This window comes from Homo sapiens, chromosome 12, assembly GCF_000001405.40.
Source record: "Homo sapiens chromosome 12, GRCh38.p14 Primary Assembly".
NCBI classification, from domain to species: Eukaryota; Metazoa; Chordata; class Mammalia; order Primates; family Hominidae; genus Homo; species Homo sapiens.
This window is the reverse complement of record NC_000012.12, coordinates 118372433-118390367: the sequence shown is the minus strand read 5'-3', so window position 1 is coordinate 118390367 and position 17935 is coordinate 118372433. Positions and strand designations below refer to the sequence as shown.

The 17935-nt window shown below is 46.9% G+C and overlaps 2 protein-coding genes and 1 long non-coding RNA gene across 14 annotated transcripts in view, besides 6 other annotated features; 2 read left to right on the top strand and 1 right to left on the bottom strand.

Moving 5' to 3' along the window:
• The window catches only part of SUDS3 (SIN3A corepressor complex component SDS3), a 41479-nt gene extending 27666 nt beyond the window's left edge, over nt 1-13813 (bottom strand). For 2 of the 6 annotated variants that reach the window (NM_022491.3, XM_047429355.1), the window contains exons 1-5: nt 13535-13813; nt 10137-10206; nt 6301-6356; nt 4183-4254; nt 422-441 (exon numbers count right to left, since the gene is read on the bottom strand). In NM_022491.3, the coding sequence (NP_071936.2) occupies nt 422-441; nt 4183-4254; nt 6301-6356; nt 10137-10206; nt 13535-13676 (360 nt within the window). In that variant the 5' untranslated portion in view covers nt 13677-13813. Of the gene's footprint in view, nt 1-421; nt 442-2270; nt 2964-4182; nt 4255-6300; nt 6357-6983; nt 8509-8533; nt 9399-10136; nt 10207-13534 lie in introns of those variants that run through there. The other 4 variants (XM_017019817.2, XM_047429356.1, XM_047429358.1 and 1 more) reach the window with 4 other exon arrangements.
• Nucleotides 13258-13758: an enhancer, noted in NCBI's record as "H3K27ac hESC enhancer chr12:118814415-118814915 (GRCh37/hg19 assembly coordinates)". NCBI's record gives its function as "activates a minimal SCP1, AML or CMV promoter by ChIP-STARR-seq in naive H9 embryonic stem cells {active_cell/tissue: H9 hESC(naive)}" and the evidence as "EXISTENCE:reporter gene assay evidence [ECO:0000049][PMID:30033119]".
• Nucleotides 13258-13816: a biological region, named in NCBI's record as "H3K27ac hESC enhancer GRCh37_chr12:118814415-118814915".
• Nucleotides 13417-13566: a silencer, noted in NCBI's record as "silent region_4929". NCBI's record gives its function as "represses an Ori minimal core promoter by ATAC-STARR-seq in GM12878 lymphoblastoid cells {active_cell/tissue: GM12878}" and the evidence as "EXISTENCE:reporter gene assay evidence [ECO:0000049][PMID:35858748]".
• Nucleotides 13597-13816: a silencer, noted in NCBI's record as "silent region_4928". NCBI's record gives its function as "represses an Ori minimal core promoter by ATAC-STARR-seq in GM12878 lymphoblastoid cells {active_cell/tissue: GM12878}" and the evidence as "EXISTENCE:reporter gene assay evidence [ECO:0000049][PMID:35858748]".
• LOC124903031 (uncharacterized) lies at nt 14241-15070 on the top strand. The gene is made up of 2 exons (XR_007063480.1): nt 14241-14412; nt 14577-15070. It is a non-coding gene; the product is annotated as an uncharacterized LOC124903031 (long non-coding RNA).
• Nucleotides 16968-17017: an enhancer, noted in NCBI's record as "active region_7111". NCBI's record gives its function as "activates an Ori minimal core promoter by ATAC-STARR-seq in GM12878 lymphoblastoid cells {active_cell/tissue: GM12878}" and the evidence as "EXISTENCE:reporter gene assay evidence [ECO:0000049][PMID:35858748]".
• Nucleotides 17338-17587: a silencer, noted in NCBI's record as "silent region_4927". NCBI's record gives its function as "represses an Ori minimal core promoter by ATAC-STARR-seq in GM12878 lymphoblastoid cells {active_cell/tissue: GM12878}" and the evidence as "EXISTENCE:reporter gene assay evidence [ECO:0000049][PMID:35858748]".
• TAOK3 (TAO kinase 3) overlaps nt 17461-17935 on the top strand; it is a 223107-nt gene continuing 222632 nt past the window's right edge. For all 7 annotated transcript variants that reach the window (NM_016281.4, NM_001346487.2, NM_001346493.2 and 4 more), the window contains exon 1: nt 17461-17720. The gene's annotated coding sequence lies outside the window, so the exon portion shown is untranslated. The remainder of the gene's footprint in view (nt 17721-17935) is intronic.

Genomic DNA, 17935 nt, shown 5'->3' with positions numbered 1-17935 from the left:
TCAGGTGTCCATGGAATGAAAGGAAAAATTAGAAATCTGTCTTTTTTTACTGGCCCAGAGAGTTGCAGCTGTAAAACAGAACTGCTGAGCCAATTCAGAGATTGAACTGCTTCAAGGACCAATATCAAACTATTAGGCCGTTATAACTCAGAGACTTCCAAACAGCTCTAACACGGGATAGAAGTCAATAAGCAGTTAGGGATGAGTATTCCTTATTCCCCTGTGATAAGCAGAGGCTGCGCAACAACAAATGACCAGACAGGATGTCTGAGCTGAGACCAAATGTCCTTAAGTCAAACAGAACAGTGGTGAAGGCTTCCAAACTATCTACTTGGTGATAGAAGGAAAAGCCACCAGATCAGGACTGCAAGATTCCAGTCTCAGACAGGGCCTGCAAACCCAGAAGATCCGTGGTACTTACTTCCAGCTGGAGGAAGAGTTCTGCAAGAGATAAAAAGTGCAATTAGATTTGCTAGGCTGTGCCACCTTTCTAGACAGTGATGTTAGCATTCATTTAGAAGCAGTAATTGCTTTCTGAAAGCATGTTACAAAGCAAATGTTTTCATCAGTGAAATGTTGATATACACGAAGGGAAAGGACATGACAAGTACTCAAGTCTAGTTAAAATGTGACCCTGCCAGCCTGCCAACATGGCGAAACCCCATCTCTACTAAAAATATAAAAATTAGCCAGGCATGGTGGCAGGCGCCTGTAATCCCAACTACTCGAGAGGCTGAGGCAGGTAGGAGACTCACTTGAACCTGAGCGGCAGAGGTTGCAGTAAGCTGAGATTGTGCCACTGTACTACAGCCTGGGTGACAGAGCGAAACCTGGTCTCAAAAAAAAAAAAAAAAATGTGGCCCTGAACATATCAGCTGTGGCAGTTCTGCCTGAGGGCAAAAAACGTGCAGCAGGAACCAAACTCCCCTGGCAAAATAAACTTATCCCATCTTTCACTCAGTCCACCCGCCAACAGTCTCCACAGTGGCAGGATGGGTCAAGAAGAAATAATGCAATTACTCCAGAAACAGAGTGGATGTGATGTTTTAAAGCAGTGGTCTCCAACCTTTTTGGCACCAGGGACCAGTTCGGTGGAAGACAATTCTCCCACGGGCTGGGGCAGGGTAGGGGGGCAGGCGGCAGGTGGGGGAAAGCAGCCCAGTGGTCCGCAGCCTGAAGGATGGAGACCCCTGGTTTTCTGGGGGGTTCTGGTTTTTTTGAGACAGAGTCTGGCTCTGTCACCCAGACTGGAGTGCAGTGGCATGATCTCGACTCACAGCAACTTCCACCTCCTGGGTTCAAGCAATTCTACTGCCTCAGCCTCCCAAGTAGCTAGGATTAAAGGCGCAAACCACCACACCTGGCTGATTTTTGTATTTTTAGTAGAGACGGGGTTTCACCATGTTGGCCAGGAGGGTCTTGAAATTTTGACCTCAGGTGATGCGCCAGCCTCAGCCTCCCAGAGTGCTGGGATTACAGGCGTGAGCCACTGCCTACGGCCAGGACCTCCTTTTTAAAGCACTATATGAAGGGCTATATGTGGTAAGGAAGGACCTCCACAGATAATCCATAGGACAGAGGCTCCAGGGACACCTGGGGCTTCACTGTCAGGCCACCAAGCTCTGCTCACGCTGTCTGTCCCTGCAATGCCCTCTGACCTCCTATTCACATTCCCAAGTTCCTGACTGAATGCAGCCCCCTCCTGAGGCCTTTCCTGCTGACTCTTCACACATCATGCCCTTCAGATGCCTTAAAGCACCCATCTAACAGCACTCAACAACTTAGTTAGCACCTACCATGTGCCGGATGATTAGTAACTGTTACCTAGCAGCTCCCCTCACCACTAGATTTACAATAGAGCACAAACCTGTCTACAAACCCGCAACTTGAAGCAAAATTGCTCCATGGCTTCTACTCTTTCCTGGGTGACAGGGGGCTGTGCGTACAGTCCACAAAGATTCTCCAGGGTGTGCTATTCTCAGTCTACCAGGGGCCCCTTTGCAAACCTGGCAAATGCTATGGACCCCTTCCCCAGAACAAAGCACATATACAAACTCCACAGAATTCTGACAGTTCTAGGAACCCCAGATTAAAAGCCCAGATGTTAACAGTTGTTGACAGAGAAAATTAACTGAGGAAAGGGACAAGCCACTCATTATTTTTTAGCCCCCAGAAGTCCTACCCACTTTGGCACTGGGAATTGCTGGGCATAGGAACCCAGGCACACCCAACCCAATGTGATCATTCCTATAACAGCTTCAGATCTGTACCATGCACAAGTGGGCCAGACAGCTGAAGTCCTGTGCCATTCCGAGAAATCATGCCTTGCACCAAGTCAAAATGACAATTAGCACTTAGAGGTGGCAGTTGTTTCAGTTAAAGCAGCCAGACACCACTAAAGCAGGTGGATCATCTCTGAAAAGAATGTGCTTTTTAAAGCTCAAGTCGTGACTGATTTAGGAGCTCTTCTGCATTTTTACCTAGGAGAGAGAAATGTGAAAGAACACATGAGGGCCGGGCACGTTGGCTCACACCTGTAACCCCAGCACTTTGGGAGGCCAAGGCGAGCCGGGCGGATCACCTGAGGTCAGGAGTTTGAGAGCAGCCTGGCCAACATGGTGAAAACCTATCTCTACTAAAAATACAAAATTAGCCAGGTGTGGTGGCAGGCGCCTGTAATTCCAGCTACTCAGGAGGCTGAGGCATGAGAATCGCTTGAACCCAGGAGGTGGAGGTTGCAGTGAGCTGAGATAGCGCCACCACACTCCAGCCTGGGTGACAGAGTGAGACTCTGTCTCAAAAAAAAAAAAGAACACATGAGGACATGATTGAGAGTCTGAGCAGAATGAAGAAAAACAACTCAATACTCACTCTGCTGTTCTAACTTCAGAAATATGACTCACATCCATTTTCTTTCCTTACTTCCATCTTATGCCAGTTCCATGAGGTATTAATATTCCCCTCTACAGATGGAGAAATTGAGGTTTCAAGAGCAAATATTCTGCTTAAAGGATCAGATCTAAAGTGAGGAGGCAGGACCTCCTTCCACAAATGCCACCTCCTTTATCTGCTAAAAGGGAAGTCTAGGAAGAGCAACCGGTTGAGGATTTTCAAGACATCTCAAGGAGGTGCTTCAGGAACTCAGAGTAGAAAGGGGGTAACAGCAGGGAGAGGTAGAAGGTGGAAAGGCAGACAGCTAATAGCTGGGGCTCCACTTTCTCAGCGCCCACCCACACTTCAACCCCTTTTCTCTCTGTTGGTGTGCACTGGGCAGCTTCTCACTGAGGAGACACAGTGAAGCGTTGGAGAGTCACTGGCCCAGAATGAAAGATGACAGCAGCATGAGGAGTGGCACCCAACCCTCATTTTAAAACCCATCATTACTTCTACCATCGCAGGAACAAGGACTCTGCTGGCACCCAAACTGCTGGCTGATGATGAGCGTTAAAAATTCAACACATACACGCGATTTCCTGTAACCTCAGGAATCCATGTTTACACACTTTAAACAGTTGTCACATCTTACTTTCTGCATGGCTCTTTAACTCGGTGTTCCTTAACTTTACACGTTATACATGTGGTATCTTTTGTCAATGAAACACCAAGTGTCCTAAAGTCAAAGCAATGTGTTACATGACTTTATATTGCTCGCAGTGCTTAGATGTAGCAGGTGCTCAATTCATTTTTGTTGAATGAATACATTTACTGTATACAACTAATCAAGTGTGCGTTTTCTCTAAATTCTTATAAAAACAATACTTGGGGAAAATAACAAGAAGACCCTCCCCAATCCTAGCACAAAATACCAAAAAAAAAAACTTAAAATGGGACAAAAACAACCTACAATCCTTTTCCTCATCCGCACTTCTGACTGTACATCAGGCCAGCCATGCAGAAATGAGCAAGAGGGTGCAAGACTACTCTTGGGGTACCAGGGAGAACAACCTAACTCCAAGGAGCCTCCTCAGACACCCTCCACTTCTGGGCCATTCCTTAGCAACAGAAGCAGAAGATGAAACCACTTTCCATAACTGCAGCTTGGAAGTCTCTTTTCTGAAAACTCTCCCTGACAGAGTATCTGGGATATGTTTTGGAGAATAGCTCTTAGGGCTGCATTACACCGACGATCGGCAAATGGTCAAACATTGAAAGATGATTCATTGCCATTTAAAGGAGCCTTACCTGCATTCCGTATCCTCTCTTTGTACTGCTGATCTAGTTTTTTCATTCTCTTCTGATATTCCTGTAATGTACCTGATTTTGAACATTTGAAAAATAAAATTATTGTGAATATAAATCTGCTCTACATTTTGCTTCCTAAAATTATTATCTAGCATCAACACTGACTGTTTCAGTAACACCAAAGGAAGACACACCTCAGCAAAGTTAACTCTGGTTCTTAACCAAGGCACACAGCAGAAACCACTAGGGGCCCATTCAAAGTCTACCCAACCCAGTGGATCAAGGGTCTGTAGTGAGTGAGGGGGAGTGGAAAATTGCCAATATCTCCACACTATTCTGATCAGTTGCTGCAACAGTCTGAATCAACGGGCCTTCCTTTACTGGAAAAGGTTCATTCTCCTTCAGTAAGGTCTAGGTCAACGCTCTCCAGTAGAACCTTCTGCAATGGTGTGTTTTATATTTGCAATGTCCAACATGGCAGGCACTAACCATTTGTGGCTATTTTAGCACTTGAAATGTAGCTAGTGGAACCGAAGAACTAAATTATTAATTAAATTTAAACAGCCACATGTGGCTAGTGACAGCATTAAACAATTCAGGTATAGATTCTAACCAAATCGCTATTCATTTCATTGCTCTTCCCACAAAACAGTTAATTATGAGGGGCCCATCTTGTGGGGGGAAGTGTTTCCTGATTATAATGCCTGACCATGGGCTAGTCCAAGGGCGTGGATCACTCACCAGCAATAAAAGCACATAGTAGAAACAGCAGTATCAGGCTGGGCATGGTGGCTCATGCCTGTGATCCCAGCACTTTGAGAGGCTGAGGTGGGCGGATCACCTGAGTTCAGGAGTTCAAGACCAGCCTGGCCAATGTGGTGAAACCCCGTTTCTATTAAAAATACAAAAATTAGCCGGGCCTGGTGGCAGGCGTCTGTAATCCCAGCTACTCGGGAGGCTGACGCAGGAGAATCGCTTGAACCCAGGAGGTGAAGGTTGCAGTGAGCTGAGATCGCGCCACTGCCCTCCACCTGGGTGACAAAAGCGGAACTCAGCCTCGAAAAAAAAAAAAAGAAAAGCAAAAACAGTTTCACTGACAAGGGGACTCCACAATATGAAACCGAAGAGCTCACTGCCACAGCTAACTGTCCCCAGGACCTTGCAGTGTGCACACTGCTGTGCTAGACGCTCCTCATGCATAATCACATCTACTCTTACTTGCTTCATTTTGCAGATCAGAAAACAGATTAAACAAGAGAAACTGGCATGTCCAAGGTCACATTACTAGAAGCAGGGAAACTGGGATTCCAATCCCTCACAAAACTCCAGAGCCTGCACTCTTTTTTTTTTTTTTGAGACTGAGTCTCGCTTTGTCGCCCATGCTGGAGTGCAGTGGCACGATCTTGGCTCACTGCAAGTTCCGCCTCCAGGTTCACGCTATTCTCCTGCCTCAGCCTCCAGAGTAGCTGGGACTACAGGTGCCCACTACAACGCCCAGCTAATTTTTTGCATTTTTCAGTAGAGACGGGGTTTCACCATGTTAGCCAAGATTGTCTCGATCTCCTGACCTCGTGATCCACCCGCCTCGGCCTCGCAAAGTGCTGGGATTACAGGTGTGAGCCACCGCGCCTGGCCTCACAGCCTGCACTCTTAACTCTGATGCTGCACTGCCTTTAGCAGCTAGCAGCATTTGACAAAATACAATCTACTTTTAATGTAACAAGCAAAAAGGAGAAAACACAGTGTGAATAATCCACAAGGTCATTAACATTTGGTTTAGAAAAAACAGTAAAAACTTTATTCTTTGATAACAATGTCTCTCCTAAAAATCTCTAGCTTTAGGCACAGTGGCGTTCAATTCGTGCTCCATTGAAAGTCCCAAGTGAGATTTCATTTGAAGAAAGAATCTCACACATACTGGAAATAAATGTTTCAAAATCAAGGAGCTGGAAAATCACCACTTTACTGACAGCAAAAGATAGCAAAATGTACTGGATAGCTAAGATCAGCCAGACCGTGTTTTAAATAACTCCCACAGAGAAGTGAAATACACAGATTTCAAGGGTTTGTAATATTAAGAAGCATATTTAGAAATGCAGGATTCAATCACACACCAACCTTCTTGCAGTTGTTGCAACTGCCTCTTGAGAGAAGCCAGTTTGTCCTGATACATCCTATAAAAAAAAAAAAGTCACACTAACAGATAAAAACATTCAATACTCAATTCCAAAATAACCTACTCACAGAAATTAGCTGGGCTGTTATGGGAAGGTCATTAATGTCCTTCAGGGAAGAGAGGAAAGTAAAGTCTGCTTGCTGGCTTAAAATGCACCAGCAGCCACAGGGATCAGAAAGGAACAAGAAAGAACCCTGTGTTCCTCAATCTTATTCTAATTTTGTAGATTCTCCCATGTTATCCCATCTTTACAGAATCCGTCTAAAACTTGCAACGATAGCAGATTTTAATAAATGACAATTATAAACAGGCAAGCACACACACAATGTAGAAATGGCATTAAACACAACTCTTACATCAACTCTACAATTAGATTGTAAGTTACAGGAGAGTAAGATTATGCCTTCAGCATGTTTTTCTATGCAGATATGCTTAGCAGTGTAAGAACTAAGTCAATAAACCTTCATGTCATTTTTTAAAGCACTACTCTTTTAGGATCAGAGAAATAATAGTAATTCAGAAAGAAAAGTTAAAAGGCAGCATTTACTGGCAGCCCCAGCTGGATGGGAATACACAGCACACACGAAGCAAAAGCATTTGGCATGTTAGTTTTTTCCTCTCACACCTAATGGATTATAGGCAGTCATAACTTCAGCAAGTTGGTTTGAAGGTGGGTTCCACATATAAATCACATTTCAGCAAGTATTTTTGCTTCTACCTGAAAAACACCCTCAATTTAACAGTGATAAAAACAAGATTTGTGATCTGAAAGAACACTGTCCAACATATAACAAGCACAATAACCTTTTGGTATATGTGCTGCTGAAGTGAGCACATGGGCGTGATAACCTTTTTAGCGCTCAAATAAGGGCTGCAAATACAACCCAACCCTCTGTAAGGGGAGGAGAGTAGGCAGAATTTGAGACTCACACACATCTCACTCTTTCAGGGCAAATTCTGATGCACTTTAGATTTCCCCTTGAATTACACAAGGCATTCCATTTTAACCGAAATTTTTTCTGTATCATCAAATACTAAGGGAGGCCAGGCAAGGTGGCTCACGCCTGTAATCCCAGCACTTTAGGAGGCCGAGGCGGGTGGATCACTTGAGGTCAGGAGTTCGAGACCAACCTGGCCAACATGGTGAAACCCTGTCTCTACTTAAAAAAAAAAAATTAGCCAGACGTGGTGGTGGGCGCCTGTAATCCCAGCTACTCGTGAGGCTGAGGCAGAAGAATAGCTTGAACCCAGGGGCTGGAGGTTGCAGTGAGCCGAGATCATGCCACTGCACTCCAGCCTGGGCGACAGAGCAAGACCCTGTCTCTTAAAAAAAAAAAAAAAAAGGCTGGGCACATTGGCTTATTCTTGTAATCCTAGCACTCCAGGAGGCCGAAACAGGAGGAATGCTTGAGCTCAGGCATTCAAGACCAGCCTGGGCAACACAGTGAGACCTAGTTTCTACTAAAAATTTTAAAAATCAGCTGGGCGTGGTGGCACGTGCCTGTTGTCCCAGCTACTTGGAAGGCTGAGGTGGGAGGATCAATGGATTGAGCCCCAGAGGTTGAGACTGCAGTGAGCTGCTATCATGCCACTGCACTCCAGCCCAGGCAACAAAACAAGATACTGTCTCAAAAAAAAGTGGCTACTGTCTCAAAAAAAAGTGGCCTGGCACGATGGCTCAGGCCTGTAATCTCAACACGATGGGAGGCTGAAGCAAGCAGATCATCTGAGGTCAGGAGTTCAAGACCAGCCTGGCCAACATGGTGAAACCCCGTCTCTACTAAAAATACAACAACAAAAAAATCAGCCAGGCGTAGTGGCGCATGCCTGTAGTCCCAGCTACTCAGGAGGCTTAGCCATGACAATCACTCGAACTCAGGAGGTGGAGGTTGCAGTGAGACGAGATCATGCCATTGCACTCCAGCCTGGGTGACAGAGTGAGACTCTGTTTCAAAAAAAAAAAAAGTAATCCATCTTTATTCAGCACTGGTTAGACCTAGCTGAATTACCCCTTTGAGTTCCAAAGCACAAAAACAATGTGAGAATCCAGAGGATGGCCACAAAACATTTGCAAAAAGGACCTAAAGGGAAATGAATGTGGATCATCCTGTTAAAAGGTAAAGAACTTTAAAAACCTAACACATTCAACAAATATACATTAAATATACTTTATACCGTTTTCCATCTGGGTGTACGCTAAAAGTGAGTGAGGTTTTCGTTTCTCTGAATCTGTTCGGCTGTGGCTCTGTCTGAAGACAATGAGAAGGTTTGGGTGAGAGCAGGTGCAAACGTGGACAGAGCACTGGCCTGAGAGTCAGCATGTGGCCAGGCAGGGTCGCTCACGCCTGTAATCCCAGCACTTTGGGAGACCAAAGCAGGTGGATCACCTGAGGTCAAGAGTTTTGACACCAGCCTGGCCAACATGGAGAAACCCCGTCTCTATTAAAAATACGAAAATTATTAGCCGGGCATGGTGGCATGTGCCTGTAGTCCTTGCTACTCGGGAGGCTGAGGCAGGAGAATTGCTTGAGCCCAGGAGGCAGAGGTTGCAGTGAGCCGAGATCAGGCCACTGCACTCCAGCCTGGGCAACAAAGCGACACTCCATCTCCACACAAAAAAAATAAATAAATACAAAAATTAGCCGGGCATGGTGGTGCATGTCTATAATCCCAGCTACTTGGGAGGCTGAGGCAGGAGAATCACTTGAACCTGGGAGGTGGAGGTTGTGGTGAGCCAAGATTGCACCACTGCACTCCAGCCTGGGCAACCGAGCAAGACTCCATCTCAAAAAAAAAAATTAAACAAATAAAAATAAATAAATAAATAAATAAGAGTCAGCAGCCTGCTTTTCAATCGTGGCTTCTCTGAGCTCTCCAGGCCTCCGGCACCTTGTCTAGCACATTAGTGCAGTGAGTTTACACTCACCTGAGAACCCAATTGCTTCAAGACAACAATTACCCTCTCTGTGCATTGGTTTGCCCATTAAAAAAGAAAAGAAAAAAAAAGGTCCGGGCGCAGTGGCTCGCGCCTGTAATCCCAGCACTTTGGAAGGCCAAGGTGGGCGGATCACGAGCTCAGGAGTTCGAGACCAGCCTGGCCAACATGGTGAAACCCTGTCTCTACTAAAAATACAAAAATTAGCTGAGCGTGGTGGCGTGCACCTGTAATCCCAGCTACTCAGGAGGCTGAGGCAGGAGAATCATTTGAATCCGGAAGGCGGTGGTTGCAGTGAGGAGATCCTGCCACTGCACTCCAGTCTGGACGAAAGAGCAAGGCTCTGTCTCAAGGAAAAAAAAGAGTAAGTAGTAAAAGGTCCTCTCCTGTTGTACGGCCTCATTCCCTCCCCTGGGTCCATTGCCCTCAAGATTCTTTCTAGAGAGTACTCAACAAAGTCTTATAACGGGAAGACTGATTAAATGTAATTAATTTAAAGTGGAGAAATTGTAAACATACATGGTCTTTGGAAGCGCTATGGTCAAACTCATACACACAAGGTTACTACAGATTAAGTATCCCTTATCTGAAATGCTTGGGATCAGAAGTGTTTTGGATTTTTTCAAATTTTAGATTATTTGCAATATACTTACCAGCTGAGCATCCCACATCCAAAAATCTGAAATCTGAAATAGTGCAATGAGCATTTCCTTTGAGCATCATGCTGGCACTCAGGAAGTTTTAGATTTTGGAGCATCTGAGATTTCAGATTTGGGATGCTCAATCTATATAAAGATGTTGTCAATTCTATGTTCCAAAAAGACATAGGCATATCATACTCACTGTTCCTTCATTTCTACATAGTCTTCTTCATCATGCTTTGCCAGGTCAGTTTCACTAGCATCCTCAGTGTCTGAATAAAGTTAGGAAATAGGGGCTAGTTAAAATCATAATTCACGGAGTTGGCGTCACCTGACACAGAGTATGCACTCAATAAACTCCCGTAAAATCAATTTCTATTCAAGGCAGGCTTGCACAAAGCCATCAATGAAAAACATTACATACAGTTAGTAGGCCATCCCTATCTGCAAACACGAAACCTGTGGACACAAAAGGCCAATGCAAAGAATTTGAGTATCCTCAGGTTGTAGTATCCATGAAGTCCTGGAACCAGTCCCCCATAGATACCGAGGGACAGCCGTACTTCAGAAAAGAAAAGGCCATTTCCAACTTACAGTCAGATTTATGCAAAAAGCTTGCCTTTACCTGAAATGCAGCCACAGAATAGGGTGTCTCAGGCACAGGCAGTTATGGTGAAGGCTGCTACTTCTGCAGAAACAACAATGCTGGCAACTCAAGAAAGGAGATGCAGGCGTAAGACTGGACACTGCAGGCAGTCAAGCCTTACTCGCTGCTCCAGAAAAAAACTAGTATGTACATTCTCTTCTGATACATACCCAGTTGGAACCCTTCGCACATTTTACATCAGGATACACGGTTGTCCCTCAGTATCCGTGGGGGAGTGGTTACTGCACCTCCCGTGGATACCAAAATCCTCAGCTGCTCAAGTCTCTGACAAAATGGCATAGTATTTGCATATAACCTACGCACATCTTCCAGTATACTTTTCTTTTTAATGAGACACAGTCTCACTCTGTCGCCCAGGCTGGAGTGCAGTGGCACAATCTCGGCTCACTGCAACCTCCACCTCCTGGGTTCAAGCGATTCTCCTGCCTCAGCTTCCCAAATAGCTGGGATTACAGGGGTGCACCACCACACCCGGCTACTTTTTGTATTTTTAGTAGAGATGAGGTTTCGCCACGTTGGCCAGGCTGGTCTCGAACTCCTGGCCTCAAGTGAACCACCTGCTTTCGCATTCCAAAGTGCTGGGATTACAGGCATGAGCCACTGCACCAGGCCAACAGTACACTTTAAATCATCTCTAGATTACTTAGAATATCCAGGCCAGGCATGGCAGCTCATGTCTGTAATCCCAGCACTTTGGAAGGCCAAAGCAGGAGAATCACCTGAGGACAGGAGTTCCAGACCAGCCTGGCCAACGTGGTGAAACCCCATCTCTACTAAAAACACAAAAATTAGGGCCAGGTGCAGTGGCTCACGCCTGTAATCCCAGCACTTTGGGAGGCAAAGGCAGGTGGATCACCTGAGGTCGGGAGTTCGAGACCAGCCTGACCAGCATGGAGAAACCACGTCTCTACTAAAAATACAAAATTAGCTGGGGGTGGCGGCACATGCCTGTAATCCCAGCTACTCAGGAGGCTGAGGCAGGAGAATTGCTTGAACTCGGGAGGCAGAGGTTGTGGTGAGCCGAGATCGCGCCATTGCACTCCACCCTGGGCAACAAGAGTGAAACTCCATCTCAAAAAAAAATAAAATAAACAAAACAACAAATAAAACCACAAAAATTAGCCAGGCATGGTGGCAGGTGCCAGTAATCCCAACTACTCCGGAGACTGAGGCAGGAGAACTGCTTGAACCCAGGAGATGGAAGTTGCAGTGAGCTGAGATCGTGACACTGCACACCAGCCTGGGTGAGTGAGTGAGACCCCATCTTAAAAAAAAAAAAAAAAAGATTACTTACAATATCCAATAAAATGTAAATACTATGTAAGTAGTTGTTACGCTACACTGTTTAGGAATAACAAAAAAAAAGTCTGCACATGTTCAGTACAGATCCAATTTTTTTCCTGAATATTTTTGAGCTGCGCTTGGTTGAATTCACAGATGCAGAACCCACAGATACGCAGAGCCAACTGTATACAATAAAAAAGGGGAATCTGACACAAATAAATATTTTCCAAGTTACAACTAAAGGGAACAAGGAGGAGGCCAGATGATCAAACGAAAACTGTTTCAGAACATCTTAAACATTGTTCTTAGAACAAGCTAATGGCTGGGGTGTGTACAAAATTTTAATAGCCCCTATACTGGAAGGAAAAAAAAACTCAATTTTGGCTCCACAGCGCCCCCTCGTGGGTATGAGATGAAGTGCAAGTGCTTCACATTCAAAATCTCTGGTTAAGCCGTGTCTTCTGATGGAATTAAATCGAATGCAGTCCCTCAACTTTGTATGTCATGCATATGCAGCTGTCTTTTGTAAGGCTGTTGCAGATCCAATTCCCCACAAACCCTTCTCCCCTCCTTCAGTCAAGAGGCCTTCCCTGAGTTCCTGTCATGGTCAGCCACATTACTTGGCACTCGGGAAACTCAGATGAATAAAACGTAGGCCCCATTCCAAACAGCTGGTCTAGCTTTTGCTCCACGGCCCGATTTTGTCCCAGAATATTCCGCTCATATATCGGTCTCTCTTTGTTTCCTATTTCTCCTCCCTTGATCTCTCACATTTCATCACCTTCCTCCTCCTCCATCCCTCCAAAATAGCGTTCCTCACACTTGCCAAATTATAAAGCCCAGTTTGAAAAGCAAGGCTCTGAGACTCTGTGATGACAGTGCAAAGAGCGTGGGACTGAAAACACAACACCTGGGGACCATTAAGCAAATCTCTCCCTCTCTTACCTGTTTCCGGGAGGGGGGCGGGTGGGGAGAACATTTACGGAGTATTTACAGTACCAGGCCAAGTACTTTATGCGCATGTCATTTAATCCCTATACCGACCCTAGGAAGTGCCTTCTAGGGCAGGTGTGGGAATTAAACAGCTCCATTACAGTTGGGTAAATCGAGGCTGGAAAACTTAAGTTTACAAAGCTGAGTTAAGTGACAAAGCCAAATTTAAACCTGTATCTGGCTGGTTCTAGGTCCCTTTCCTTTAACCAACCTGAGTTCTCAATAGTGTACTACCTAAAGTATAGATGACTTATGCATTTCGGGGGTGGGGAGGGGCAACTTTGGACTCTGATGCTCTCACACACAAAAAAGGGGCGAACTACACTCGATGTATTCAGTAAATGAGTTTCTAATTCCTACTAGTGAGTGAGGTTCAATCAGAAACGGCTGGGAGGGAGGACGGGGTCTTAAAGGGACCCCCAGCGTGACAACATCTAAGTCCCCTCTCCCCATCACGGTCGAGTGTAACGCACCCAGGGCTTCCCCGCTACTCCAGCACGGATGGGGGTAACTTCCCCGAGCCCCGCAACTCCCGGCGGCCCCTCCACGCAGCCCCAGGCCCCGGAGGCCGCCCCGCCCCTCTCCCGAACAGCCCCACCCCCTCCCCCAGCGGTCCCACCTCCGCTCCGGGCGGCCGGGCGAGCGGCAGGACTCACCTTCGTCCGACTCGCGGCCCCGACAGCTGCGCTCGTCGTCCTCGGCGCTCTCCAGCTCTTCATCCTCCTCGGGGTAGTACTCGGGGGCCGGCGGCGCTCCAGCCTGGGCCGGGGCCGGGGCCAGCAGCCCCGCGGCACTCATGTCGCCTCTGACCGCAGCTGAGCGTGGCCCACGGACACCGCGGCCACCCGCGCTCGGTACTCGCCGTCTGCCTAGCAGTGTCCGCGGCAGCCCCCAACTCGAGGACCGGCAGCCACGGCGACCCCTTCCCCGTCTCCGCCGAGCTCCGCCCCCCGCGCCCGCGCTCGGCAACGGGGGCCTCGCGCCGCGAGCGACTTCCGGGTCGAGAGCTGCCCGACAACGGCCTGATTCCGCCATCCTTGGGGGAGTGGAGATGCCGCTGGACGCCCCCGTCGCCACAACCTCAGCCCTTTCATCGCCGTCTTAAAATCCTCAACGTATAGTGGGGGAGGGGCGGAGCCAGGTTCGCTAGAGTCAGGCAAATCTACGGGCAGGCCCAGCAGCGGTCAGGACCCCGAGGCTCGCAGGCGACTTCCGGAGACAGCCGCCAGGCGGCGCCTGGAGCTAGAACTAAAGCGGTGATCGTTAGCGACCTAGGGGCGGAGGGTTTGAAGGGCCCTTGGCAGGTGGAGGTGGTCTCTAATTTAAGCAGGGAACGACGCGACCTGCCCCCTTATTAGGTCGGAAAACCTAGACGTCCAGAGTGTGCGTGATCATGCAGCCTGGCTCCTCCTGTGACTAGTTAGAGCTTTATTAAGAGCTAAAAGACAAGGATGCTGATATTCCATCCTGGGGACAGCAAAATAGTATTTTCCCAGCCCTTAGGAATCCTTTCTGTTTGTGTAAGGTTTATTCGGTAAGATGTTCCCCCGGTTTTACAAATGAGAAACGAGCTGTCGTTTGCCTAAAAAAAAATAGTAACGTCCAGTCTGATTTTTTAGACTCCGAGACCCAGGCCCTCCGCGGTACAGCTGCCTTGAATATTAATTTTTTAAAAGGTGCTTTTGCTTAATCCAACAGCTTGCTCTGAGCTCTCAACTGAAGAAGGGGAGAATTTGCCTACCAGAAGTTATTTGGCTAAGGCCCACGTGGAAGCTTAAAAAACAGGAGAGCTGAGTATCTGCAAGAATTAATTTGTGCGATTCCCTCTGAGTAGAAAAGGAACACGGTGTTATAAGTTTTGCTGAACGAATAGATTTAAGGTGTCCCTTTAGCTAAGAGCAATGTGGTCTAGTTGTGTGTAGCGAGAAAAAAGGGTAAGGTTTTTAATGGTTTGTCCAAAGTAGCCCCACTTTTATGTTCCACCCGAGTCTCCGTAGGAAACGCAACCAGTAGTGAAAATGAACAGATGTGAAAACCAGGGTGGAACCGAATATTCCCATTCTCAGACCTTTTGTGATTAAATTTATCTCTGAATTGTTCCCTATGGACTCTTCTGAAAATGAAACGTTATTCTCATCCCACTTATTTTGACATTTATTTACTACCTTGTTTTAATTAAAATCTTGGCTCTATTTGTAAGTGATTTTTTCTCCCAACAAAACTAAAGAATTTCCAGAATGGAATGCTAAGATGTCTTTCCAGGAGTTCTGAGATCTTCTGAAGCCCCTTCTAAATAAGAATCATTCTCAGATCGCACCGTAGGTCTGCCATCTATATTTAAACTAGGATTCCAGAACTGTCTCTTGTCCAAAAGATGAAGTCATTTTCTTTCTTTGTGCTGTTGGAGAACATCTAAATTACTTGCAATCAACTATATTGAGTAACTTGCGTTCCTGTCAGTAGCAGTAATCATAGTGCAGAAAAAGCAAAGATTTTAGAAATCAAGAGTTCATTGATACAATTAATTTTTAAGTTTATTTCGTTGCTAAATGGTTTCCTTTCAAGACGCTGAGATTTTTATCCTGCTTATGTTTTACTGCTGTCTTCTTGACTGCAAACAGCATCTGTTAATGGTCATGCATTTCTTTTTTATATGTAATGAATAGACACAACTGAGCACTTGGGTTATGAAAACTTACCCCATTTTTTTCTGTCCAGATTGCCAGCTGCAGAACTAAAAAATGCTCTTTAGTGAAGGTGGACCTACTCAAAAAAATTCTCTTATGGCTTTAGTCTTACCTAACCTTTAGATTTATTTAATATGATTTTGGACAGTCGCTATACTCCTGTAAAAATCAAGTTCCCTCAAAACCAAGTTTTACCACCTTGAAATCTTTTTATATATCCCTTCTCAAAACGGTACTCAGCCACACCGCTCAGGAACTCGACTTGACTTGAAACGAAGCCCTGCCAGCCCCATTTCCACAACTTCTTTGCTTCCAGGCCTTCTCTGCCTACCCTAACACCCAAACTGAAACTTTAAAGGGGGACATCACAATTGGAATGGAGTATGATTCTTTTTTTTCTTTTTCTTTTTTTCTTTTTTTGAGACGGAGTTTTGCTCTTTCACCCAGGCTGGAGTGAAGTGATGCGATCTCGACTCACTGCAACCTCCGCCTCCGGGTTCAAGTGATTCTCCTGCCTCAGCCTTTCTAGTAGCTGGGATTACAGGTGGGTGCCACCATGCCCGGCTAATTTTTGTATTTTTCGTACAGACGGGATTTCACCATGTTGGCCAGGCAGGTCTGGAACCCTTGACCTCAGGTGATGAATGGCGTATGATTCTTAAAACACTAGAAGAAACATGTATACTGTTTAGAACACAAACACATTTTGTCAGCTGGAGTTAAAAAGTTAACAATCGAGGGTTCTCTGAGAACTAAGGCCTGTATACATCTGACAAAACTTAGGATCAAAATGTGTTCCTGAGACAATTTCTTCATAAAATGCTAAATTCTAAAGTCCATAAACTTACTTTTGGCGTTAAGAGTAAGGAAAGCAGTTTTCTGTTTCCGGTGTTGATTTGATCAGCATATCCAGTTTCACAAAAATAACACAAATGGGTCTTAGTAGCATGATGCACTTTCACCCCTGGCAGGCACTATCCTTTAGCGTGGATCAAGAGGAGTCTCTGATTATCACATGTTAAACCTGGGTCAAAGCTCGTTATCCTTTGGCCACACGTTCACATAGAATCATTAAAACCTGTGGCCCTGGAAAAAGGTTATATTGAATAGCTTTGCTGAAACCTTGTTAAGCTAATAATAGGGTTCCCCTACCACAGTCTTCCTACTGTCATAAAAACCTACAAACTGAAAATTTCTAAAGCTTTGTCCTTGCACCTATCAAAATGTGCCCCGCATTGAACGCTTAGTTGGGCAAAGTATGCACCTAGTACTGTATATAGATTTTTTTTCCCCCAACGGTATCAAACTGACGGCTGCTGAACTCAATTCAAGGAGAGGCAACTCCCTTGCAAGAGATTTTAAAAAGAAATGGTTTAAATCCAGGAAATTTTTACAAATCCTGGGCAAATTAATGCTATATTAGTTCATGGCAGAATTACTAAGAAAGCTGTGCAAGGTCTAGCGAGAGACTGGGGTCCTCCCCAAAGGCTCTAACATGGTGGTCCCTGGGAATCTCCCAAGAAAAGTAAAGGCGTGGGGAGAAGCGCCATGAACTTTGACCGGAGAGCAGCACAAACAAGACTGACCGCACCCCAGGCGGGCCCGTAGGTTACTAAAGTTGCAAGGTCTTCCGCGTCTGAGGAGACCCCGCCCTGCCCTGTCCCGCCCATCGACAACTCCGCCAATCCTCGGGTTCCATCGACCGCTCGGCTTCCCAGGCTCCATCAATCAAATACCTATATACGGCCCCGGCCCTGTGCCCCGCGATCAGGGAAGGTCAGTAGAGAGCCTATTGGAGCCGAGCTTGGGGCGTGGTCCGGGGCAGGGGGCGGGCGGACTGAGACGGTGGGGCGGGGCGTGCTCGGCGCAGTCCGGTGCGATTGGCCACCCCTGGCAGGAGCCGCACCTCGGACAGCAGCAGCGGCGGCGGCCGCGGGAGGGTCCTTGTGGCGCCGGGCGGCGGGGTCCTGCGTGGAGAGTGGGACGCAACGCCGAGACCGCGAGCAGAGGCTGCGCACAGCCGGATCCGGCACTCAGCGACCGGACCCAAGGATCCGCCGGGGAACAAGCCACAGGAGAGCGACTCAGGAACAAGTGTGGGAGAGGAAGCGGCGGCGGCGGCGCCGGGCCCGGGGGTGGTGACAGCAGGTCTGAGGTGAGAGCACCGGGGCGCGGGGCATGACAGTGGGAGCCGAGGCGGCGGGACCCCAGGCAGAGTGAGGGGAGTTGCGGGAGCGGGCTCGACAGTGCAGACTGTGGAGAGGAGACCCCGGGAGGGACCGGGACAGCGGGTGAGGAGAGGGGACTCCGAGAGGGACCGAGGCAGTGGCTCTGAGTGGAGAGGACTCCGAGAGGGTCCAAGACTGAAAG